Source organism: Homo sapiens, chromosome 3, assembly GCF_000001405.40.
Source record: "Homo sapiens chromosome 3, GRCh38.p14 Primary Assembly".
In the NCBI taxonomy this organism is placed as follows: domain Eukaryota; kingdom Metazoa; phylum Chordata; class Mammalia; order Primates; family Hominidae; genus Homo; species Homo sapiens.
Genome location: NC_000003.12, coordinates 28,238,734 through 28,264,996, shown reverse-complemented (window position 1 = coordinate 28,264,996; position 26,263 = coordinate 28,238,734). Strand labels below are relative to the sequence as shown.

The window sequence follows — 26,263 nt, the reverse complement described above, 5'->3', positions numbered from 1 at the left end:
AGTTATACTCTACGCTTTCATTTCAAAAACCAAAAATAAAACTCAAAGTCATACAATCATTCTGCATTTTCCTTGGAATTATGTCAGTAAAAATTAAATCTGTAATTGAGTTAGCTAGCTTTCTTTCATTCTAGGTATAAAGACAATATGCTACATGACAGCACACATACAACTTATATGTGTAACTTTAGACTGATATATCAGTAATAAGTAAATTTTCCTAGCAGTAAAAAGCCCTACAACTTTATTATAGGGTTTTTAAGTTTTATCTCCCCTCACCTGAATCAGGATATATATTTTTTAAGTTGTATGAGGAATGTGCAGGATGTACCTCTTGTGACCATAAACATGACACCTACCAATGCCATACATGCACTACCTGCAGGTGTCAATAGGTTGACGTCTCAAGACATCTGGGGGTAGGTGTTAAAGAAAGGTACTCTGATTAAACTAACTCACAAGAATCAAGAGTAAAACCATTGGATGGTTATTTATATGAGTTTTAAAATGGAATAGGTCATAATAAGTTATTGAAGAAACAAAAATTACCATCACACATTGTTGATTCCAAAGAACTACTCTTTATTTTATTGCCTCCATTCATCAATTGCAAAGGTCCTCTCTAAGGGCAGAGGACAGGGAAGGGAACAAAAGCGTTCCTAGTATCCAAATGTTATTGACCCAGTCCTGAAATTAGAGTTGACACAGCCCTGCTCCCCTGTAGTGAAGCTTGCAGTGGAAGTGCAGCCCATCATCCTCACTAAAAATTATTGTGGTCCCTCAATAAAGATGACCACAGGGAAAGTGAAGAAGTAAAGCCAGGAAAATAGCCTATGCCCATAAAAGTTTATTACTTCTTTTTGATGGCCCTTCCAAGAGACAGAATTTTTTAAAGATATTTCTAAAGTAATATTGCCATGTGCTTTTCTAATAACTCATCATTTACAAATGTATTATGGCCTCACTATTCACCTTTCACTGCTTTCTTTACATGTTTCACTAGAATATTACATATTAATCACTGATGTCTCTAGATCTATAGGAGTATTTCATGTTAAAACATTTTCCAAAGAAAACATACACTTGTAGCTGTCTAGTGTATGTATTTACATAAATATCTTCCACTTAGAAACATAAAACAAAACAAAAACCCCAGACTCACTGTAAGTCCTATCAGGATTCTATTAACAATTCAGTAATAGACAATGACACCAAAGAAAATCACCTTAGAATATATATATGTATGCGAATATGGTGACAGATGGGAAACAGGTATATGTTAGATTTGATGTTTCTTCCTCCCCTATAAAAATCGTAAGAGTAACTTGTTTCTCCAAATTACTCATACCAAGTTTTTCCATGTATATAACTGTACCTCTGAGGGTAAAAAAACAAAAAATGTTTTTTACTAGTAATTTAGGGAAATATTTTTAAACTGTAAATGAATTGAACATCACTGGAAGTTCTGAAAGCTGAAATACTGGTATTTCAGCGAAAGGGTGAGAAGCAATTCATACATATTAATTCATTGACTACTTGATTCTGGGGCTAAGGATTAAATTCAGATCATATTATTAAAAATAAATTTGATCTTTACATGAATATTTGAATGTTACCTTGAACTTGTTCAGAACACCTCTCTTTGGCCTTTTCTCTCATTATTTTAGGGATCAAAACATCTTTTTCGACATGTCTGAGATGCTGGTCTGAAAAAAAAAAGATCTTTCTTTAATAAAGTCTCAAGCAAATCACCAGATTAAAGGAAAAATAAGACTCTGGTTTACTTAAAATAAAAGCCTATGCAAATATACTCAAAACTTACAACCTTATGAAATTGTGATTATTTTAGTCATTAAAACTCATCCTATTTGCAATGTTTTTTTATATACAACAACAAAAATGTGAGGAATACAAGCAACATGTTTCTTAAAATTTCTGCAAACTATACTACAACATCTTTACTTTATAACATATTCCATGCAATCTTGTCAAAGTTGGCATCTAAATCATTCCCTTATTAATATAATCCACAAAAGAGGATTTTCACCGATACTGAGATCCAAGAATAGATGAAGAGATACAAGATTAAGAGACACACAAGTAGTTTTTCTACCTAGTAGTAAGAGTAGCCTAAAAAAGAACTAACAGAAGAAAAGGTGGAACTACAAGTCCATATGAAAACAAAGCGTGTGTGATTTCTCTGCATTTTAAACACAACTTCCACAACTGGACTAAAATGGCAAATTGAACACCTGCTCTAGAGTCCCACCTGCTCCTTAAATGCTAAGAGAGTCCTGAAAAATAAACAAAGGATAAGTGCCTTCAGTGAACCAAAAAAGATGAGGAATCTCTGAAAGAAAAAAAGGCAGATTAGATCAGATTAAATGAGGTAATCATATTACTATAGAGTATCCAGGAAAAACACGCATGCCAAAAGTGGGTGCTGCTCCATGCTCTGAAGCAGCAAATATGGAAAGCAAGAAAACTTCCCTGGAGGAAACTAAACAGTTATTAATTAAAGTGACTCAGTAGGAGCCAAATGGTCACCTCCTCTGCTGCCTTCAGGCCACGGGTGAAAAAAGTATATATAGGTATTTATCCCCAAAAGACCAGAAAGTTTCCCATTAAAAGAATATAGGAAAGAAGATTTTAGATTATTATTAAGTATAATAAATATACTGAGGCAAATACAAAGACCTGAGTCCTCAGACAGCAATGGACCATGGATTACCTAAATGCACTCTGATGAAATGTCTGAAACCCCAAAATCCTAAAAGCTTCAAAAGGGAATAAACACTGCCTACATAAAGGAATGAGAATCAGATTTACATCATGGCTCACTGGCAAGACATGATGCAACAAGACAATGGAGAAATAACTTCAAAGTTCTGAGAGAGAATTATAAAGAATTACAAAGAATTCTAGAGTCTCTAAACTACCAATTATGAGTGAGGTTAAGGACATTCAGATATATAGGAACTAAAATGCTTACCACCTTCAAACCCTACAGAAAAAGAAGTAATCTCCTTATTACAGTTGATCCTTGAACGACACGGGTTTGAACTGTGGGGGTCCACTTAATACTCAGATATTATCCAACCAAATGCAGATTGAAAATACAATATTTTGGAGATGCGAACCTATATGGTATACCAACTTTTCAGGCCAACTTTTCATACACATGGGTTCTGAGGGGCCCATGGTGGGACTTGAGAATGCACAGGTTTTGGTAAATATGGGGCTCCTGAAACCAATCCCCTTCGTACACTGGGGAATGACTACTATGTGCAACAACTACTCATCAAATTTAGTGATGTAAAACAATAAACAATAAACTATGGGTCAGAGGGGCCTGATCTGGGAAGACTCAAAGTTCCGGTGGCTCTGGTGTGCATTTTAAACACAACTTCCAAAATTGGACTAAAATGGCAAATTGAACACCTGCTCTAGAGTCCCACCAGCTACAAAAGCTGGGGCTGGAGGATTTACTTCCAAAATTACTTCTTTTTTCATATATGTATCTGACATCTGGCCTGGAATGGCCAAAAGAAGTGCTCAGTTAGGACTGTAAACCAGAACATCTACCAATGGCCTCTCTACCTGGAGCCATGCAACACCATTCGTTCATGCTACACTATACTGATTTCAAGTCATTAAGGATAGCCCACACTCAGGTGGAAGGAAATCAGATTCTATTCTTGGTAACAAAACCACACTACAGAAAAGCATGAAGAATGGGAGATAATTTTGTAACCTTCTTTGTAAAATAAAATCTCTCACAAGATGTAACAGAGAATATGCTCTGATAGAAAAAAAAAAACTGAACGCATGATATACAAATGTAAAATATATGTCATATTACAAAAACATATATTTAAGTTCGTTAAAACTGTGAAGTACTTGAACAACATTATCAACTAACTTGACCTAACTAACATTTATAGAATACTCTACCTAATAACAGCAGAACATCTACTAAGATAAACCACAATCTGGCTATAAAACAAATCTCAATAAATCTGAAGGAATTTCAAGCCCTACAAACTATGTTCCCTGACACCAATGTAATTAAATTAGCAACCAATAACAGATCTCCGGATAATCGCCAAATATTTGTAAGCTAAATAACGCACTTTTAAATAACCCATGGATCTAAGAAAATGCCAAAAAGGAAATGCGAAAGTATTTTGATATGAATGAAAATAAAAACACAATATATCAAAATTTATGTGATGCAGCTAAAACAGTACTTGGCAGGAAATTTGTAGCACTAAAAACCTATCTAGAAAAAGAAAAAAGGTCTTGTATTAACTTAAGTTTCTACCTTGAGAAACCAGAAAAAGGGTAAAATAAACACAAAGCAAGCAAAAGAGGAAAAGATAAATATCAAAATATAAATCAATGAAATAAAGAATACCACACAAATAAAAGAAAAAAAAAACAATGAAATTAAAGCTGGTTCGAGAGGATAAGATCAATAAAATTTATAAACCACTAGCCAGACTAAGGTCACAAATTTCAAACATCAGAAATGATAAATATTTTTAAATAATAAGGGAATATTATGAACAAATTTAGGCCAATGAACTTGACAACTAGAATGAAATGAATAAATTCCTTTAAAAAAACTACAAACCAACCAAAGCTCACTCAAGAAGGCACAGATACCTTGATACTAAAAGCAAGAACGGTATTTACAAAACACATACACACACACACCAAATCTACACACCAGTATGCCTCATGAACACAGATGCAAAAATCCTCAACAAAATATTAACAAATCAAACTCAGCAATACATAAAAAGAAAGACACATAACAAAAATGTTGGACTTATTCCAGGGAGGCAAGGGTGGTTCACCATTCAAAATTCAAACCATGTAATCCATGAGATATATTAACAGTCCAAAAAAGGAAAACCATATAATCATATCGATGCCAAAAAAAATTGGACAAAATTCTACATGCATTCATAAAAAACAAAATCAGTATACGTGGAACAGAAGAGAACTTCTTTAATGAAGGGCATCTACAAAAAATCTTCTAGCTTACATCATACTTAATACTAAAACTCTGAACGCTTTCCCTATAAAAAAAGAAACATGGTATAAAATTACACAGAATTATACACACACACATATGAGTACACGTAAAAACTGGTGAAAACTGAAAAGATCTATAATCTAGTTAACAGTATTGTATCAACTTCAGTTTCCTGGTTTTGATATTGTACTACAGATATATAAGATGTCACCACTGGGGAAAGCTATGAGATGGACACTCAAGACTATATAGCATTTTTCACAATTTTATGTGAGTCTATATTTCAAAATAAAAAGTTAAAGAAAAAAACTTCTAGAAACAATCACAGGAGAAAATCCTCATGATGCAGATGTCATATAATTACAGAACAACAAAAAAAATGCATGTAAAAAGTGGTGAAATTCGACTAAGATTAGTACCTGAATCAACAATATTATACCATTGCCAATTCCCAGTTTCCTTGTCCACATTTAATTATAGGAGCCTGTCCCAACCTTTTTTAATTTTTGCCCTAAAAGGACCCTTTTTTGACATTTTTTCCTAATGTACCCCTATGAAATGTTAATATCACAGATATAGCATATATGTTTATGCACTGCGGGTGTAACATTGTTTTATACATTAAGAGAGTAATATTTCTGTCTCCACCAATGTCAATTGTTATCCTTTTGAAGGCAGTTATCACACCCACTGAGAATATACATATCATGGTTATGTAAGATAGCATCATTAGGGAAAGGGAAGAAGGCAGGTACATGGAAACTGCATGATTTTGTAGTTTCCTATTATTATTATTATATTATTAAAAAATAAAGTTATAATAAAAAAGTGAAAAAACATACAAGGAAGCACAAAGGACATAGAATAGCCAAAACAACACTAAAACAGAAGAACAAATTTAGATGCTATGCAGCAACTACCCGATTACAAGTCATACTACAAAACTACAGAAGTCAAGACGACGTAGTGCTGGCATAATTTGGGTAGCCAAAAAGAGTAATGTAACAAAAGAGAACAAAAGAATCCACAAGGCCAGGCACAGTGGCTCACGCCTGTAATCCCAGCACTTTGGGAGGCCGAGGCGGGCGGATCACGAGGTCAGGAAATCGAGACCATCCTGGCTAACACAGTGAAACCCTGTCTCTACTAAAAAAAAATATAAAAAATGACCCGGACTTGGTGGCGGGTGCCTGTAGTCCCAGCTACTCCGGAGGCTGAGGCAGGAGAATGGCATGAACCCGGGAGGCAGAGCTTGCAGTGAGCTGAGATCTCACCACTGAACTCCAGCCTGGGTGACAGTGCGAGATTCCATCTCAAAAAAAAAAAAAAAAAAAAAAATCCAGAAATACTTCCATGTATATACGATCAATTTATTGGCAAATGCACCAAGGCTAGTTTATGAAGAAATAAAATTATTTTCGACAAATGGTGGCAGAACCGTATTAACATGGAAAAAAAAAAAAAGCTAAACCCTTTGACCCCCTACTTCACAGTAACCACAAAAATTAATTAGCAATGGATCATAAGCCTAATGTAAAAACTAAAACTATTAAACAAAAAAGACCCTTCAATTCCTTGGAGTAGACAGTTTCTCAAAAAGGGCATAAGGCAGTAAAAATAAATTATACAAATTATAAATTTGACTTCACTAATATGAAATCATTTGTTTATCAAAAGACACAATTAAGAAAATTTTAAAAAGGCATGCCACAGACCAGGAAGAAAAATTTATTTCATATATATATAACAAAGGACTTGAGTCCAGAATATATCAAGAACCCCTAACTATCAATAATAAAAACTCAATAAAAGATGGACAAAAGGCTTGAATGGACACATCACAAAAGATGATATGCAAATTGTAAGTATATATATATATATATATATATATAAAGGTGCTCAAAATCATTAATCAAGAGACTGCAAATGAAACCCCTTATATCATTTTGTATGCACAAGAATGACTAAAATTAAAAATAATGACAACACCAACGTTGGAGAGAATGTGAAGCATCTGCAACTTTCATATCTTGCTGATGGGACTGTGAAATGATACATTTCTCTGGAAAACTGCTGAGTTATAAAGTTAAATATGTTCCACTCCTAGGTATTCACTTATGCAAGATAAATGAAAATATAAGTCCTGGCTCACTCACGCCTGTAGTCCCAACACTTTAGGAGGCCGAGGCGGGCAGATCACGAGGTCAAGAGATCGAGACCATCCTGGCCAACATGGTGAAACCCTGTCCCTACTAAAAATACAAAAATTAGCTGGGCATGGTGGCGTGCGCCTAAAGTCCCAGCCATTCGGGAGGCTGAGGCAGGAAAATCGCTTGAACCCAGGAGGCGGAGGTTGCAGTCAGCCAAGATGGCATCACTGCACTCCAGCCTGGCGACAGAGTGAGACTCAGTCTCAAAAACAAAAAAAAGAAAATATAAGTCCAGAAGACAACTTGTACAAGTCTATTTAGAGAAGCATTATTCAGAATAGCCAAAAACTACTTAGTGATAAAAAACAATGATACTATTTGTATACCACTACTATCAGTAGGATAGGTGATCTATCCTAGGTGAATCTCAAAAACATTTGAGCAAAAGAAAGCAGACAAAGGAGTACATACTGCCATGATTCAAGGACATGCAAAGTTAATCTATGGTGATAAAAATTACAACAGTGGTTATATATGGGAGCTGAAAAGGTACTCTCTGAAAAATGTCTTAATTAGGATATATACATTTATGAAAACTCATTTAAGATCTGTAAATTTCACTGTATATTTTACCTCAATTTAAAATCGATTAGCTTAAAAATTTATAGAAATCTGCACTCATAGTGGGAGATTTCAACACATAACTATTAGAAATTAGGTTACTAAGTAGACAAAAAGATTCATAATTTTCTCCTTAAAGTTACTGTTCATCTTTCATTAGATTTCTATTGGTAAATATATCTTTCCATAAATAACCTGTTGTAATTATTTACTGCTAGTGTTTAGGTTCAATTGATTTTTTATGTTGTCCTTATAATCAATAAAACCTCTCTCAATTTTAATATTCTGACAAAAGATTCTCTTCCAATTTCTATGTAGACAATCAGAAACAGTTTTGCATCCTCTTTTTTAATTCTTGCTGGCTACATCCTTTAGAAAAGTGGTTAAGTAGTAACTAGCAAGACCTCTGTCTTGGATGCTCAAATTTTGTTTAAAATCTTTTCAAGTTGTCACCATGTCGGTGTTTGCCTATGACTCTCCTCCCTTATCTTTGCATTGTTTTGGTGTTAAAGTTGCATTATTTAAACAATAAATTAGGGACCTTCCTCTCCCTTTATATTATCTAGAACATTGTGTATAAAACAAAGATTATTCTCAGTTCCTTGAAAGTTTGTTAAAAACCACCTGTGATGGTCAGTTTTATGTGTCAGTTCGGCTGGGTTATAGCCCCCAGTTATTCACGCAAACATTAATTCAGGTGATGCTGTGAAGGTATTTTGCAGATTCACATAAAGAAGATTATCAAAGATTATTTGGGTGGGTCTAATACAATCAGTTCAAAGGCCTTAAGAGTAGAATTGAGGTTTTCCTGAAGAATTACACTTGCTGACTGCAGCTTCAGCTCAAGATCAAGAATTCCAAGCCTGCCCTTCCTGACAGCCTGCCCTGTGCATTTCAGATTTGCCCAACTGGTCCCTACAATCACATAAACCAATTTCTTGCAAGATCTCTTGACACGTATACATATATATATATATATACACACACACATATATGCATATGTGTGTATATATATATACCCATCTTAAGATATATATATATGTTTTTTCTCCTACTGATTATTTCCATGGTGGAATCCTGACCAATACACAACCTATCAGGGCTTGCGTTTTGGTGTATGTATGTGTGCATGTGTAAGACACACAGGCACAAAGAGAATTGTAACTATTGTTTCAATTTTGTAAGGGCTTTTTACTAATTCTAGAGTCAGCTGAAGTTTTAGCAAAATTATATTTCTCAATGACCCTATCTATTTCGCCTTAATTTTCAAACAAAAAAATGATATGAAGGTGTTCACATGACTTTTTTTCTCTTTACAACACCTGTGGTTGTATTCTAATTTTCATTGCCTATGTAAAGGTAGACAAACTATTTCTGCTAAGAACCAGAGTATAAACATTTTAAGCTTTACATATCATCTCTGTCGCGTGTGTGTGTGTGTGTGTGTGTGTGTGTGTGTATGTACATGTATATATATACATTTTTTTTAACAACGTTTCAAAAATGTTACTAACCGTTCCTAGCTTATAGGCCTTTCCAGATTTAGCCCATAGGTCATAATTTGCTGAACTCTTTGCTGTATCATTTATTTACACATTCTCTTTTTCCTTAGCTTTGCCAGAAGCTACCGGAAACAGGCCGGGCACAGTGGTTCATGCCTGTAATCCCAGCACTTTGGGAGGCTGAAGCAGGCGGCTCACTTGAGGCCAGGAGTTCAAGACCAGCCTGGCCAATATGATGAAACTCTGTCTCTAGTGAAAAAAAACTACAAAAATCACCCAGGCATGGTGGCGCGCATCTATAGTCCCAGCTTCTCAGGAGGCTAAGGCAAGAGAATTGCTTGAACCCGGGAGGCGGAGGTTGCAGTGAGCCGAGATCATGCCACTGCACTCCAGCCTAGGAGACAGAGCGAGACTCTGTCTCAAAAAAAAAAAAAAAAAGAGGAAACAAAACAAAGCACTGAGAAGGAACTGGAAGCATGGTTGGAGAGAAAAGGACAAATTCAGAGGGAGGTCCTATAAGCTTGATGGTGCCTAAAGGGGATGAGGGAAAGGGATGATTCAAGGAGGACTGCTAGTTTTCTGGCCTCAAGTAAAAGGATATGACCATTTATTGAGATAGGGAATACAAAAGAAGGATCAGATAAGAGAGAAATTCAGTTGCGGACCTGTGGAATTTGAAGGGACTGTGTGACACATCTTGTAGAGTGGAAAGCTGATGCTTACTTACAGAGAAAAGAATAAAACTGAGACTATCTCCACAAATTCCTCTTTGCCTTGCCTACAGAATAAATCATAACTAGACATCAGTAACTATTCAGTGTAATTACTAAACAGATTAGAAGACATTGGATTATACAAAATTACAAAATTTTTTCAAAATTTACAAAATTAATTTCAAATTGTTACTTTTTTTCACATATATAATTTTCATCTATACAACTTATTCATAATGCATCCTGATGAATCTTCTATTTGCTCTATAAATCTTCCAATGGTCTTAAATAACTAAGGCAATATTATTTTGAATCAATTCCTTGAATACAGACATAGATGTGTAATATCAAACCATTTTTCCAAAAATAAATTATAACAGAAATTTACCTACATTACGAATTCTAAGCTATAATATTCCTATCAAACACATTTTTAAAACGGCTTGTCAAGACATCTGATCCTTCTTCTAAAACTTCCTAGGGCAAATAAATAATTCCAGAATTGTATTAATATTGATTTCAATTTTCCAAATTCTTGGTATTAAATCAGAAATGACAGTATTAAAAATATGAAAATTCTACTAAAGATTTTCCCACTTGATAGCATACCAGCCACTAAATATCAATGATTTATTAATTATAATTTTTGAAAAAGCTATCTTCAACATTACAAATATTATAGAAATGGCAATTTTGATTCACAATATTACAAAGTGATTCTCTTAATCTCAATCTGGTGTATATATGTTATACATTTGTACAGAGGTTGCAAAACTAAAAATTAAATTTTGAAAGTTTGCTACTGTATAGTCACATAAATTTATACTGAATTAAAGAATCAGGATAACACCATCAGGGAAAATTTCCAAAGCTCTAACTTCTCAACATTCTATCATCACCTGGAAGTCAATTTTCACCTTTTTCACTGGCTGAATTTGTTAGCTCATATTTTGCTTTGGGGCTCATGTGTTCTTGCAATATGGCAGTGCTAGATTATAAGGCTACTGACAACAGCACTTGCTATGAATCCACAAAGACAACAGTGAAGCAAATAAGAATATTACAGAGTCTTTAATAGCAAAGAATGTGATATATGAAGGGCAAGTTATGCCCTTTCAATAATGAAAACATTCTAATTTAACTAATTTGATACTTACTTAGGTAATGCCATTTTTTAAAAAATTTACTAGTTAACACTTACTTGCTCCTGAAGACAGTTTGGTGCTACTGTTTACTCTGTAGGAAAAACATGAAAAATGCTTGTAATAAACTTGCAACAGTGTTCTCATTAGCAATAGTTTCTATATTTGGATCCCTCTTCTTTGTTTGTTTAGCTTTTTGGGGGGAGTTTTTTGGGGGGTTTTTTGGTTTTGGTTTTTGTTTTTTGAGACAGAATACTATTCTGTCACCCAGGATAGGGCGCAATGGCGTGATCACAGCTCACTGCAGCTTCTACCTCCCAGGTTTAAGTGATCCTCCTATCTCAGCCTCCCAAGTAGTTGGAAACACAGGCACACACCACCACATCAAGCTAATTTTTTTATGTGTACTTTATAGAGATGGGATCTCACTATGTTTCCCAGGCTGGTCTCAAACTCCTGGACTCAAGCGATCCACCCACTTCAGCCTCCCCAATGCTGGGATTACAGGAGTGAGCTGCCACGTCCGACTGGTCCCTCTTCTTTACTAGCTATGAAGAGTCTCAAAAGGCAGAGCCCCGGGAAGAAGGCATGATATACAATACAATGAGACCAGCGTTCTCAATTGTTAGTTCTCACTAAGTGCTTCACACCAGGAATCTAGGCAGACTCCAGTTTTTCTCAACAGCACAAAGATATGTATGCTCATGACCAGATATTCCTCTTGCCAGTTTGTTCATACCTTCTTGCTATAACGACAGAGTAAAATGAGGAAGGGTAGACGAAGAGACATCTTAAAATAGGAAAATTCACCTTCTTTCCTTCAAGCCATACTAGAACTGACAAAACAAAAACAAAAAGGGAAATCAAGAGTAGGAGAGATGTTTTCTTCCCCGCAATGCTCCAGCCTGCCTGTCTGTGAAACCTGAAGATGAGGGCAATGAATACATACAGTCTTCATAACAGTTCTCTCAGGTAAGTATTTTGATTTCATTTTGCAGATAAAGAAGTGGAGGCTCACAGAGGTGAAATGACCCAAGCTTCTAATAAAGTGCCAATGCCAAGATCATGTAACCCAGGCTCTAAACCTTCAATGACACCACCATGCACATGGAGTGGGGGCCTTAGGAGACTTAAGCAAACAAGGCTAAATGAGCTTCCACAGTTATGCTGAAGCAGGGAAACAACCTTTAGACAGTAAGTTTGTGTTTCAGAAGCACCATTTGAACCAGCAAAATTTGAAAATTCAGTTCTCAATTTTTTATCAGAAAGTAAAATCAAAGGGAATTCTGATTCTGCTTCCTACCACGGGAAAAAAATATTTTTAAAAGCAAGGGGAGCAATTTGTCAGCTGGCTGAAAAACACATTCAAAGAGAATAAACATCAAATATTAGGTCAGCCACTAACAATCTAATTTTGTATAAGCTCAAACGCTTACAAAATACGGAAAGTACATCAGTGAGGTAGATGTGCCTATTTCTGCTTAGCTTCTGGGTCAAGTAACACCCATATCCCACAATAGTATGCTTCATCTGAGCTTCTCTGTCCTATCAGCTTTCACTGTTAATTAACCACCTTGTTCACACTAGATGTGCCCATTTCCCAATAGCACCTATTTCTTGGACCTCAGATTCTGCAGATTGCTAGGTGTGAAAAGTTCCTCTTCCACCCACACTGCTTTAACCAAGAGGAGGCCAGAAAGGGACAACATATTTAAAAGTATACCAAAGCAGGAAATTAACTTATGCAATAAGACATGCCAATTTTAGAACTGTGTTACAACCGCCATTGTGGCCATAATTTCTTAAATGAACAAGTTTCACATTTACTTTATTTGGTAAAACTTCAAGACTGTCTTTGCGCCTACAAGCACAATTTCCCACTGATATCCGGCAGAAAATCAGCAGTGTTATGGGACAGGAGCAGACATTTGAGAAAGTAATAAATGACAGCATACCTGTGGCCTTCTTAGCAATACATTGCCTGATTTACTTTTTTTCCTCATATAAATCTAGAAGATTGTGTAATATTCTCAATCCTATGAATGTTCCTCAAGCCTCTCTCCACCATGTTACTACTGGTTCTTCTTTTATCTTACAATATTTCATAGAATTCCTATAAAGAAAATATAATACTTTGATAATGGAATAGGAGAATTATTTTTATATTGAAGGGTTTTTCACTTATTTCAAAGACTCAGCCTTTGCTCAAATCACATCATCTTTCTTGGTATGGCTTCAGAGCTAATCTGAAGTAAACATGAAAACCAGTTCCATAATATAACTTTTTTGGGGTGGGAGCAATATGGTTTGGATATGGTTTGTCCCCACCAAATCTCATGTTGAAATCTGATCCCCAGTGTGGCAGTGTAAGGAGGTGGTCCCTAATGGGATGTGTTTGGGACACGAGGGCAGATGTCTCATGAACAGCTTTGTGCCCTTCTAGCAGTAATGAATTCCTGCTCTTGCTGGAGTGGACTAGTTCTTCAGAGTGGGCTGGTTCTCAGAGAAAATGACTAGTTCCCAAGAGACTGGATTGTTGTAAAAGTCAGGACACCTCTCACGTTTGGTCCCTCTTCACACATGCCCGCTTCCCCTTTGATCTTCTCTGCCATGTTCTGACACAGCATAAATGTTCTCATCAGAAGCCAAGCAGATGCCATGCTTCCTGTATAGCTTGCAGAACTGTGAGCTAAATACACTTCTTTCTTTATAAATTACTCATCCTAAGGTATTCATTTATAGCAACATAAAACAAACTGAGACAAGGGAAGAGGCAGCATTTCCCAGGATGATCGTCTATCACCTTCACCAGACTGTCTCTGGTTAAACCTTGGCTGAAATTCAAATTAACTTTCAGAACAAAGATTTGCCAAAATGAGGATATTAAGACGAGTGTACTGAAGAATCCAAAGGGAAATCTTAAAGGAGTTTCAAAAATATCCTGAACAATGGTAACAATACTAGAACTATACACACTTCCAAGGTAATATCTGTACTTAATCCTCCTGGGGCAATCCCACAAGGTTCCACCTTTAAAGATAGTGTTTATGATACTGAGTTCTCAGTGCTCATCTCCATCTCCAACTTTCCACATTTTCAACTATCTACTGGTGGTTTCTAAGTCCCACCAGCAGCTCAATTCCAACTTAAATTTCCTACAATGTAAACCTTCATTTTGCCAACCTAGTGGTTATGTTACCCTTCTTACCTGAAAAATCGGCTTATAGTTATATAGTACACAGAAGCAACACGATAAATATTTACAGAAAGAAGAAAAGGGTGGTGGATGGAACTGGTTTACAAACATCATCTCATTTAGAAGCAGATACAAAGAAATTAAGACTCAGAAAGCTCAAAGCAATCTTGCAGCATTACCCGGCAAGTAACAGGTAAAGCCAAACTCTAGTTCAATCTCAGTCTTTATTTTCCATCTTCAACCTCTTATTTTTTGTTATCAAAGTTTACTTATTTAAAACTCAATTCAACATTTCTCCATCCCAAAGTTCTTCCTGACCTCCAGCACTAAAAAGTGATTTCTCCTTCCTCTAACCCCAAGATTTTGCCTGCACTCGTTCTGTTGCTATAATCACACCTGGACTTAAACACATCACATCACACTATATATCCAATCTTCTCCTGCTAGATCAGTGGTTGGCATGAGTTGAATTGTGTTTACCATTCTCCAAATTCATATGTTGAATCCCTAACCCTCAATGTGACTGTATGTGGAGACAGTGCTTTTGGGAGGTAATTAAGGTCAAATGCGGTCATAAAGGTGAGGCCTTAATTCGATAGGATTAGTGGCCTCATAAGAAGCAGAGGGCTCTCTCTCCTTCTCGTTCTCTCCTCCTCCTCCCTCAACCTCCTCTTCCCCCATCCCTCCCCGCTCACTGCCATGTAAACACACAGGGAGAAGGCAGCCATCTGCAAGTCAGGAAGAGAGTCCTTGTCAGCAACCAGATCTCCTTGAATCTTGGTCTTGAACTTCCTAGCCTCCAGAATAGTAAAAAAAATTAATGTACATTTTTTAAGCCACCCAGTCTATGTTGTGTGGGTCACTCAAGTCAGTCTATGGGATTTTGTTATGGCAGCCTGAGTAGACTAAGACAGATTTTGGTACCAGAAGCTCTCAACCCTGGCTGTACCCAAGAACCACCTGAGAGGGCTGTACAAAATTCTTAATGCTTGGGCCCCACCCCAGACCAGTTAAATCAGAAATGCTGGGGTAAAAGCCAGGCATTGATATTTTTTAAGGCTCCCCAAATAATTATAATATGCAGCTAGACTGAGAACTACTGCAAGTAAAAGTTAACTTTAATGAGGTCAGAGACCACGTCTAACTCATCTTTGTAATTCCCTCTAACTCCTAGCATATGGTAAATATGCAATAAAATTGTTTTAACTGTTTAACAAATGACACGTATATTTAAAAGAGTTTTAGTATTTGATAGTTACAGATACACTGTAAACAAATACGTATGTACCTATTATGTACCAATCACCACACCAGGGATTGTGTATACAATAATGAATCAGTCAAGCAAGGTTCCTTACTCTGCAGCATAAACATGTGATACTCTACATTCCAATTAGTCATGTTTAGGTAATTAACATATCTTTTGATCTGTAAGAATCTCCCAGTAACAGTTCTTTAGCAAAACACAATGCAGGATGGTAAACACCACATTCTTAGCAATTTTTTCCTTCAATCTTCTTACTTAAAAATGCAAAAATAGGCTGGGCGCAGTGGCTCACGCCTGTAATCCCAGCACTTTGGGAGGCTGAGGCAGGCAGATCACAAGGTCAGGAGATCGAGACCATCCTGGCTAACACAGTGAAACCCCATCTCTACTAAAAATACAAAAAAATTAGCCGGACATGGTGGTGGGCGCCTGTAGTCCCAGCTACTTAGGAGACTGAGGCAGAAGAATGGCACAAACCCAGGAAGCGGAGCTTGCAGTGAGCTGAGATCACGCCACTGCACTCCAGCCTGGGCAACAGAGCGAGACTCTGTCTCAAAAAAAAAGAAAAAATGCAAAAATAGAACAGAGGATTGTCGGGGAGAATGTTAACTTGGGTATCAATAGTTTTATTTGGGCACAATTTTGTTTGGTCCACTTATATCAAGTACAAGGTAATACTTCTCATATTTTTGACATCTACAGAATTTTACACATATGATTTTAACACCCCAAACAAAAAATTAAAAAAGATACTAATCCAGGCAACAAGACACAAACTTGAATTTATTTCTGTGTGGAGTCAAGAACCCCTTGAGACCTATGACAAGTATTAATATTTAGAATCATAAAAGTTCAAGGCTTGAAGCAACCTTAGCAATTATCTGATACATCTCTTTCCCTACTTCTCATCCTCAAACCTCATATTATGTCATTAAGGACAGGTTAATGACAAAGTCTGAGACAATAAGTCAGTCTTACTAACTCCCAAATTCGGTGTTGATTCCACAACAGTACACTACCTCCCTGGGAGGAGGTGGCCAATCTTCTATAATCTAGGTGAAATTAACTGACCTATCCTTTTATCTGGTCTCTAATGAATTTAAAGAGGTGGATTCATATGAAAAATATTTACTATTTATTACACAGGTAGAACATTCCCATTCTTCAAATTATGTTTTTCTTTATTTCTCCAATTATTTGTTACATATAGGCGCATCATATCTGAATAAAAGGTTTCCTTTTATTCGTCAAAGAAAAGGATTTTATATCTAAAAGGAAAACAACTCTATACATAGGTTATATGATATTTTGGTGGAGTTTTTAATCCTAAACCTTAAAAAAAAATGTTTAACTGGAGGTGGTGGCAATCAGGAAAACTCTCCTAAGAAACTGATTTTAAATTGAGTTGTGAAAAATGAACAAGAATTCAGTAGACCTGGGGATAGGGAAGATGGGAGAAATTCTAGAGAGAACAGCATGTACGATGGCCTAGAAGACAAAAAAAAAAGTACAGCTTAGCCTACCTTAGGTATATCTTAAGCCAGTGTTATTCAAACTTGTTAACCACAACCTGTGACACTTTACTGGATGCAGTACACACACCTGTGTGTATGTATACATGTGTGCAAGTACCCATTCCTATCTGACCTGTCACTATCTGAACTCTCACTACTATCAAAACTCTTACTATCCAACTAAGATTCCTAACAGATTCAGATAAATTATTTTTAGGATAGAGCTGGTATCCCTCCTGCAGCAGAGAATGTTGGAGCATTCACATCTGCAACCTTCTCAGGACTGCCCCTGGCCATGGTAGCCCTTTGCTGTTTTCCTTGCTGCTGTCCCTCTCCCAACTACTACAGTAACCAATGACTGAAAAAGGGCATGAAAGCCCAGCTCCCTTGCCTCCAAGGCACAATAAACTGTATGTACCATGTGGTACACCAGAGCTGATTAGGTTAAGACCTGAAACCACATCCTTGCTCAGATTTTTCCCCTCCCGTCTCCTATTTTCCTTACTCTCTTAAGGGTTTTTTTTTTCTTTTCCTAAAGGCAATCTATTAATAAACCACCCAAATTACATGCAGTTCTAGTGACCAGCTCTTACTCTCTAATACTGTGCCCAAATAAAAGGAACCAGGGCTTCTCAGAGAAATAACTAATTGTATGGATTGGCCAGGGTAGGTACAAGATGAAGCAGTGATACCTTGTGTGAGGGAATAAAAAGGAAATGCTCAAAAAAATGGTGAGAGTATATGACAAAGATCCAGAAGCTAGCTTAAAGGGAACTCTGGCCAAATCTGGGGAAATTTGAACACAAAAAATACTTATGTACATTAACAGAGTACAAACGATTGAAAATACAGCAGTTCATGAGTCCTTACCAAAAATACCAATAATAAATTCATAAATCAATGAAAATGAAACAAAGCAATCTCTTGCTTACAGTAAAATGTCAACAACCATCTAGTAAATGTGAAGGGAGTGTGCTGGAGGTAGAAAATCATTATTTTGCAACCATTATGGGAAAGACTGAATCAGGTAAAAAAAAAAAAAAAAAAAATCAATGGACCCCAAATCAAAGAGAAATATTTGATGAGAAGCAAATATTTACAAGGTCTTAACCTTCCCACAGATTAGTTACTAATTGCAAAACAGAGAAAATACGGCAACAAAACAGGGCAAAACCTTGAGTGGGTAATCAAAATTAACATCACCTACGAGAGACAGATACCCATGTACCTCCAGATGGGATACTCTGGAAAGACACATCATGTATGCAGTATGTGGCTGAGATCAAGGTTATTCTTGATCTAAACAAAAGTCAGATCAACACAAAATAAGGAGAGTTCTGTTTGTCACTCCGTTACCTAAAAACTTGCAGTGTCTTCCCATTGTTCTTAGTATAAAATTCAAAATCCTTGAAATGGTTTACAGATCATTTCATGCTTCAAAACTGAAATCCCAACCCCCAACCCACTGCCATGGCACATACTCCTCTTTGATCTCAATTCTTCTTTCTTATTGTCTTTGCTTAAGCCTGTGTTTTTCAAATTTCACAGAGCAACCATCAGAGAGTTGTTAATCCGATGAGACAAAAATAATGTATTTTCTATGGCAAATATGCTTTTAATTTATAAATATACAAAATGTAGATGTTAGGTCTTTTTTTTTTTGTTCTGAGCCACCAACGTAATTTATGTCTAAGAAGATACTCTAGAGATATGGCGGCAATAATAAAATCAAAATTTTTCTTATAGGCCAGGCAGGGTGGCTTATGCCTATAATCCCAGCACTTTGGGAGGCCGAGGTGGGCAGATTACTTGAGCCCAGGAGTTCAAGTGCTCCTGAGCAAGGAGTTCAAGTGCAGCCTAAGCGACATGGTGAAACCCCATCACTAAAAAAAATAAAAAATTTTTCTAATCAACTCCACAACCTTTTACATATTAAACATACAATGCTCAAAAAAGATTCTTCAAGTTTGTTTACATGTCTAACTTAAAATTTTCTAGTAAATGTAAGGGCTAGTACTGTTCCTGTACCCCTAAAGGTAATTTACCTACATTCCCACAGGAACCACTGAAAGAACCCCAACTTGGAGTACTGCAACCCAAATGTTCCAAGAACATCCATAATTAAATCTTCCCAAGACACATATACCTTAAACACCTTCTCATGGAATGTCATGAAATTCTTGAACCCACTTTCCACCCCCTAAGCCCTATCTCTGTCCCATCTTCCTCCTTTTATTAAGTTCCCGGAAAAAAACAGCAATAGAAGGACACAGGGACACACACACACCTGATTAAGGAAACTTCCCTTAGGCTGCCATGCCCCATTCTGCATAAGTAGAGAATGAATCTATGTTGACAGAGGGAAGAGAACCTAACTAAAAAGGGGAAAGGTCAAAGAAGGGAGAAAGGAATTACTTTAGTTGATAGAGAAAGTGAAAAATCAAATTTATCAGGTGCAGGTTCCTATGGGCCATCATCTGAGAATATAATCATGTCTGAAAATTTGTCCGGAACATGGCAATAAGCAAAGATTGCTGTTATTACTGCTACATTAACAAAAAAAAGGAAAATAATGTAAATAAAACTATGTATAAGCATGTAACCTGCATTTTTTCGCTGGGTTCACAGTTTCTTGAGGAAAACAGAGACCCTACAAAGTTAATTAAAAGTTGCTGCCAAATGAAAATCAAGCTTCTATAAAGATCACAGAAAATACAAAATAAACCAATAGGAAAACAGATTTTGCTAAATGAACCTCAATTGGTGTATCTATTATTCACTTACTCAATATGGGCAAATACCATCGTGGGCTGTACAAAGCAGTAAAACATCAAAATGTGAAACTAAGCTTCAACGTATGAACCAAATAAACACGAAATTAAAAAAAAAAAAAAACTGGCTTCCATACATTTTATTCTGGAATTTAAACAGACAAAACAATTTAGGGAAAAAAAAAAAAACCTTCCTACTTGCTGACTCCACTTTTTTACTCTCCATTGCTTCCATTCCTTCCTTTGATGAAGTTTCCAATAATCACATTGTTAGATTTGACCATGACCTTCCACCCAGCTGCTGACGTACAAAAACTGGAATTATCCCTATTTCCTCTTTTTTTTTTTTTTGAGACGAAGTCTCACTCTGTGGCCCAAGCTGGAGTGCAGTGGCGCAACCTCGGCTCACTGCAACCGCTGCCTTCCAGGCTCAAATTCTCATTCCTCAGCCTCCTGAGTAGCTGGGACTACAGGCGTGTGCCACCATGCCTGGCTAAATTTTTTGTATTTTAGTAGAGATGGATTTTCACCATGTTGCCCAGGGTGGTCTCAAACTCCTGAGCTCATGCGATCTGCCTGCCTCGGCCTCCCAAAGCACTGGGATTAAGGGCATGAGCCACGGTGCCCACTGTTTCCTCCCTTTCTCTCACCATCCTTATTCAATGCAACCACAGGTCCTGTCAATTTCTCCTCATGACGCTGTATATTTCTTTCCATCTGTCTATTACCATCTTGGGCTAAGATACAAACATATTTGGCCTGGACTACTGCTCCTATCCCTTAACCTGTCTCCCTTCTTCCACTTATGACCTGACCCCTCTACAATGCATGCTACCACTGTAGCGAGGATAATAAACACATAAATTATGTTACTGCCCTCTTTAAAAGATTCTAAAGGCATTTGATGCCATTAGAAAAAATCCAAATGCTTTATTATCACAGCCAGCCTTTGAGGACTTGCAGCCTCTGCAATATCTAGGCATTTAGTGACTACCTACTTTCCCAATATCTTTCCTTATGGATCCCCTCCACACTCTGACCCACGTTCAAGTTAAATATTTTAAGTATTTGCTACCTGATGGCCAAGCACACTCTGCCTAGCTTCCTCTCATCCCTCAGATTCCAATTCAAATGACACTTCCTCATAAAGCTCTTCACTGACTAATCTCTTCACCATCTACCACATGACATTATTTTCTTCATGTTTATCACAATCTGTAAAAATGTGTGTGTGTATGTGTGTGTGCCCACGCACGTGTCTGTGTAGGGGGAAAAGGGGGTGTTAATTGTTTTTTCTACCACTAGATAAGCTTTATTGGGAGCAGGAATTTTGTTTGTCCTATGTACTACTGTTCCCTAGGGTCCAGAACAATATGGGACATATACCAGACACTCAACAAGTCTTTGTTTAATCAATACTCAAAAGGTGGCATGGTCTACAGCACTGGACTGGAAATGAAATTACCTAGGTTCTAACCAGACTTGACTCTACCAGCAACTAGCTGTGTGGCCTTGGGTACAACACAAGATTGGAGTGGCTTATGAGTAACTGGAAGGTAAGCAAGTGAAGAGAGCAAGTATGAAGACTTTTTTCCCAAATTTCCTTGTCTAAATTCAAAAAGTGTAGATATATGGAAATCTTTAACCTCTCTCATTCTCAGTCTCCTCATCCGTATGAGATTACTTTAAAGGTCACTTCAAGTTCAGAAGTACCATAATTAGGCTGGGTGCGGTGGCTCACACCTGTAATCCCAGCACTTTGGGAGGCCAAGTCAGGCAGATCACTTGAGGTCAGGAGTTCCAGACCAGCATGGCGAACACGGCGAAACCTCATCTCTACTAAAAATACAAAAATTAGCCGGCCGTGGTGGCGGGCGCCCGTAATCCCAGCTACTCAGGAGGCTGCGGTGGGAGAATTGCTTGAACCCAGTAGGCGGAGGCTACAGTGAGCCGAGATAGCGCCACTGCACTCCAGCCTGGGCGACAGTGAGACTCCGTTTCAGTAAAATAAAAAAAAAAGATACCATAAATTATATGGGCCTAAACTTGAACCTTCCTTACTCACCCCTCACTTATACTCTACCCCTTCTACCCTCAAGAACCAAATCATGGTAGTCATCCTGAAACCAAGCATCGCACAGTGCACCTTACTATCTAAACCTTTGCTCATAGGGCTGCCTCTTCTCCAGCTCCAACCACTGGAAATTCCATCCCTCAAAGCCCAGATCAACTGCTAACTGCTTCATAACCACCTAGTCCAAAATGAATATGATCATTATGTTCCAGAACTCCTCTATGCTTCAAATTAGAGTACTCCCTGATCTACCACTACCTGCTGGACTAGTCACTTAACTTCTCTTCGCCTCAGTTTCCTAATCTGTAAAATGGAGCTAAAAGGACCTACCATACCACATATTATTGTTGGATAATAGAGAACACTTAGCATGGTAATAACATGTTCAATTAAAACATTATTTCTGTGCTACATATATTTTCCATGCTCCTTGAAGGCTCCGAAAGAGCATTTTCCATTTCTGAATCTCCCAAGTTTGACGCCATTTACCTCTCAATGTTTTGACTTTTTGTATCCATAAAATGAAAGAAATGGACTAGACCAACTACCATTCCCTCCAAAAATGTTATCTATTCCCTTGCAAAAATAGCCTAACGCAAAGATACTGCAGGTGACCTTCCACAAGGACGGGAATTCGAGGGTAAGTTAACTATTGCTGCAAACGGAAGTGGCTGGAAGCAAAGAGATTAAAACAACATTCAAGATTTTGAAGATCCTTTCCAAAGAAACTGACTCCTGCCATAGTGATGGATCCTTTGAAATATGTTTTTAAGTTGGGTTACAAGGATGAACTCGGGGTCCATGAACTCCCAAACAGAAATGTAAAACTGTGCGCCAGAACAAATATACAAATTTTTCTGGGGCCAGAGTGTCTGCAGCATACATTAAATGCATCTGTGACCTTAAGGGGCGAAAAGAGGGTGACAATGAAGAGACTAGTCGCGTTAAGTTGGAAACCACAATGGATGATACTTTAGACAACAAACGCAACCTCAGATAACCATAATCCCCAACAAGTGAGAAGATGACCTCAGACCGGGCGAAGCAGCCGCCGGGTATGAGGAGACGCTGGTGGAAGCAATGCTACCCAGAGCTCTGCACCTTTCCCAGGTCGGCATCCAGCCCGCATGGCCCGCGGCGTGAGACCCGGGGCGAGGCCCCTCGGCAAACCCCGCTTCCCGCCCCGGTACCTGCGGGGTCGAGCGCCATCTCGGCGGGCCGAGAAGAACGTAGCCGCTTGGCGGCTCCGGGGCACGCAGGAAGGGGAGTGGAGGGGAGGGGCTTGGGCTCGGACGCACGTGCGACCCCCGGGAGCTTCCCGCAACAGAAACACGGGCCCTTTGCAAAGCACCGCCAGGACCCGTTCCCTCTTCCTTCCCAGGCTCCTACTTCCGCCGCCCGTTGCGCCTGCGCCTTTCTGGCCCCGCCCCAATCCTGTAACTAGAGTGGAACTGACTTCGCAGGGGGAATGACCAGGAAAGGGGGCGTGTCTGCGTGCCTTTGGGGCGGGACCGTGCAGGACGCGCGCAGCCTCGCTTCAGGAGGCTTGTGCACCAGTTGCAGACCCGGGTCGGCCGTGACTGGAGGCGGACCTGCAGGACTTTGGGACTGTGCCTCACTCGGTGACTGGGCCAAAGTCCGAGCCCCGTCCCCCATACCCGCCTTCGGAGAACCAAATGAATCATCCAGTTCCTTTTTTTTTCTTCGTTAACGTTCATTCATTCATAAATGTCTATTTCATGCCTGCCAAGTTCCAGCCACGGTTCTGAATACGAGGGGAAAATAACAATAAAAATAACGTCCCTGTTCTCAAGGAGCAGTGTGGCAGAGGAGACAAATAAAAGCAACACGCTGTTAAATGTGATAAACGCCACACGCACTAGTTGTTCACAGCTTGTTCTACCATAAAGGTGATATGGTGTGTGCAATATCGTTATTTCTCCTTCAAATCAAAGACTGTGGCTCTCCTAGACGTTAAAATATGGGCTCTAGAAGTACCTCTATGTTGTGAAATAATATCCTCAGGACGTACAGTATGATTTGGGTGATGTTACAAATCCTGCCTCTATCAGTAAAAGCTGTATGTTTTGTGAGAGTAAAATGAAGGAAGGTAATAGCCGTCCCGCTGAAGACCCACTACTCACCTCTTCTCAATAGAAGAAACTTTCTAGGTGGCACTTAGGTTCATTTCCACTCACAAACCAGCCTTCAGAAGTGCTTCCTTGTCAAATTCACGTTTAACTGGCTCGAGCCACGAAAGGGTGAGCTGAGGCCTGGGACAGATGGGACAGATGTTTAGAAAAACAAGGAGCAGCTGCTTCTTCCCTGCAAGGGATTCAGGGCTTTCAAAATGATCCCCTCCCCACCTACCTGCAGTCCCTCCTCCCCTGCTGCTGCTTCCGCCTGGTCAGTTGGCAGAAAAGCTGAGGCAGTTGAGCAGGGCTGGGAAAGTGGGTCTCTGCTCAGCAGGTCTTCCGTTTAAGGGCCTATTTGGGCATAACGGCCCTTATTACAGCTGTAGGTTGAGGTGCCAAGGTGAAGAATTAACGTTTCACTCACCCAGCCAGGGAATCAGGTCCTTTTCCTTGTATATTTTGTAAATATGCTTAGAAATACACCAAAATGACTCTGGTATGCCTCTTTTATTGTTCTGAAGGTGAAGGATTTGATTTAGAAAGCTAAAGCAATCTTTTTGAGGAGATGGAGTATGAAAACACAGGTCAGACACCCATATTCAAGAATTAAACTAAATCTTTCTATATGCAAAAGGGTATTATGGTAAAGGAGGAAAGTTTGATCTGTTATCTTAGTGAGTTGAGTAAGTTCTATTATTTTTCTGGACTTTGGTTTCCAATTTACAAGGTTGTTCTGAGGAATAAATGTGATATCATACAATGCATTTGAAAGACTTTAAAGGACCACTTCTACCATTTCTGCCATAGCTATTACTTGAAACATTACTATTTAACATTTGTTTTTAAATCAACACATTTTTAAAAACACTTAAATAGGCACTATTTACTTTAGCCTTATCCTAAGCAACAGTATCTGTAATATCATGGGTTTTGTGTGCCCCATAGAATGAACTGCTAGACGTATCACACCAGGAGAAGCACTAGCAAAAACGGTAGCCCAATACCTGATACATAATAGTATATCTCTCTCTACTCCCATGTTAAACCAGATACTTTGGGGGGAAACTGAGTCTTTACAATCTATACCTAGGGAAGATAAGTCATTTTTTAAGTTAAGCGAATGTAATTGGCAATTAAAAACAGAAGAAATTTCCTGAGGCATCGCATTATTAATAGGCAATTCTTTGGGTAGTAACTGCAAAAGGAGCTCAAGGAAAGAGGAGAGGACATCATCCTGGAAATTAGGAACAGTGTCTTACCCAGCTGTGATCCCTAGAGCTCAGGCAACGTCTGGTAACTGGTGACCCCACAAAAGCCTTTCTCAAAGGATTGAATGCCGCAATGGTTAGGAAAGACTTCAGAGATAAGTTAGAAGTTATGCTCGGCCTTGAACGATGGGTACAATGAGTAGACAGAAAAAAGGGCATCTCATGCTGGGAGAAAAATGAGAGCAAAAGCATCTGGGATTTGAACTGTTCTTGAAAGAGCATGGTGGAGCATGGCAGAGTACAGGCTAAGGAATGGAATCACATGAACAAAAGCACAGGGGTGGGAAGCACCCAGCTGTGTGGCAGGAAGCACCACGGGGCTGTGTGGCAGGCATGTGGTGGGCAATGCTTGAAACTACTTCAATGCATTTTAGGATTTGGGAAGCTAGGGCAGTTATGCATTGGCTAGAAAAGTCCAGATTCCCACAGCCTTAAACACTAGACAGAGGTGTGTTTGAATGTGTTACTATAAGCAACCAGAATCTGTTGAAGGTTAATATATAGGAAAAGAGCATTGTGGTCAAAATTTTCTAAAGGTGTTTTATAAAAGTTTTGCGCAGGATGAATGTAGGCAGCGAGGAAAGAGCTAAAAGGCAAGCAGAAAAGTAAGGAGGCTATTGTACTGGTTTGGGCAAGATATGAAAAGAGCCTCAACTGGGATATATAAAAGGATGGATGTGAGAGTAATTGCAAAGGAAGAATCTATCCTTTGAAATTGGATTTAGAAGACTAAGACAAAGAGTCAAGATTTCTGGATAATTCCTTTTTTTGGCAAATGTATACAGACAAATGAGAAAATCATGGCAATGTGCCTATTCATGCCTGAAATGATCTGCCTTGATCCTCATTATTGGGGGCTAACAGTG

At 38.3% G+C, this 26,263-nt stretch overlaps 1 protein-coding gene across 7 annotated transcripts in view, besides 1 other annotated feature; it reads right to left on the bottom strand.

Moving 5' to 3' along the window:
- Window positions 1-23,378, bottom strand: part of CMC1 (C-X9-C motif containing 1) — an 83,524-nt gene extending 60,146 nt beyond the window's left edge. For 2 of the 7 annotated variants that reach the window (NM_001331186.2, NM_182523.2), the window contains exons 1-2: window positions 23,185-23,378; window positions 1,617-1,706 (exon numbers count right to left, since the gene is read on the bottom strand). In NM_001331186.2, coding sequence (NP_001318115.1) covers window positions 1,617-1,706; window positions 23,185-23,203 — 109 coding nt within the window. In that variant the 5' untranslated portion in view covers window positions 23,204-23,378. Of the gene's footprint in view, window positions 1-1,616; window positions 1,707-11,231; window positions 11,267-11,911; window positions 12,009-23,095 lie in introns of all 7 variants that reach the window. The other 5 variants (NR_138585.2, NM_001331190.2, NM_001331185.2 and 2 more) reach the window with 4 other exon arrangements.
- Window positions 23,086-23,165: a silencer, noted in NCBI's record as "silent region_14156". NCBI's record gives its function as "represses an Ori minimal core promoter by ATAC-STARR-seq in GM12878 lymphoblastoid cells {active_cell/tissue: GM12878}" and the evidence as "EXISTENCE:reporter gene assay evidence [ECO:0000049][PMID:35858748]".
- Window positions 23,379-26,263: the final 2,885 nt, after the last annotated feature.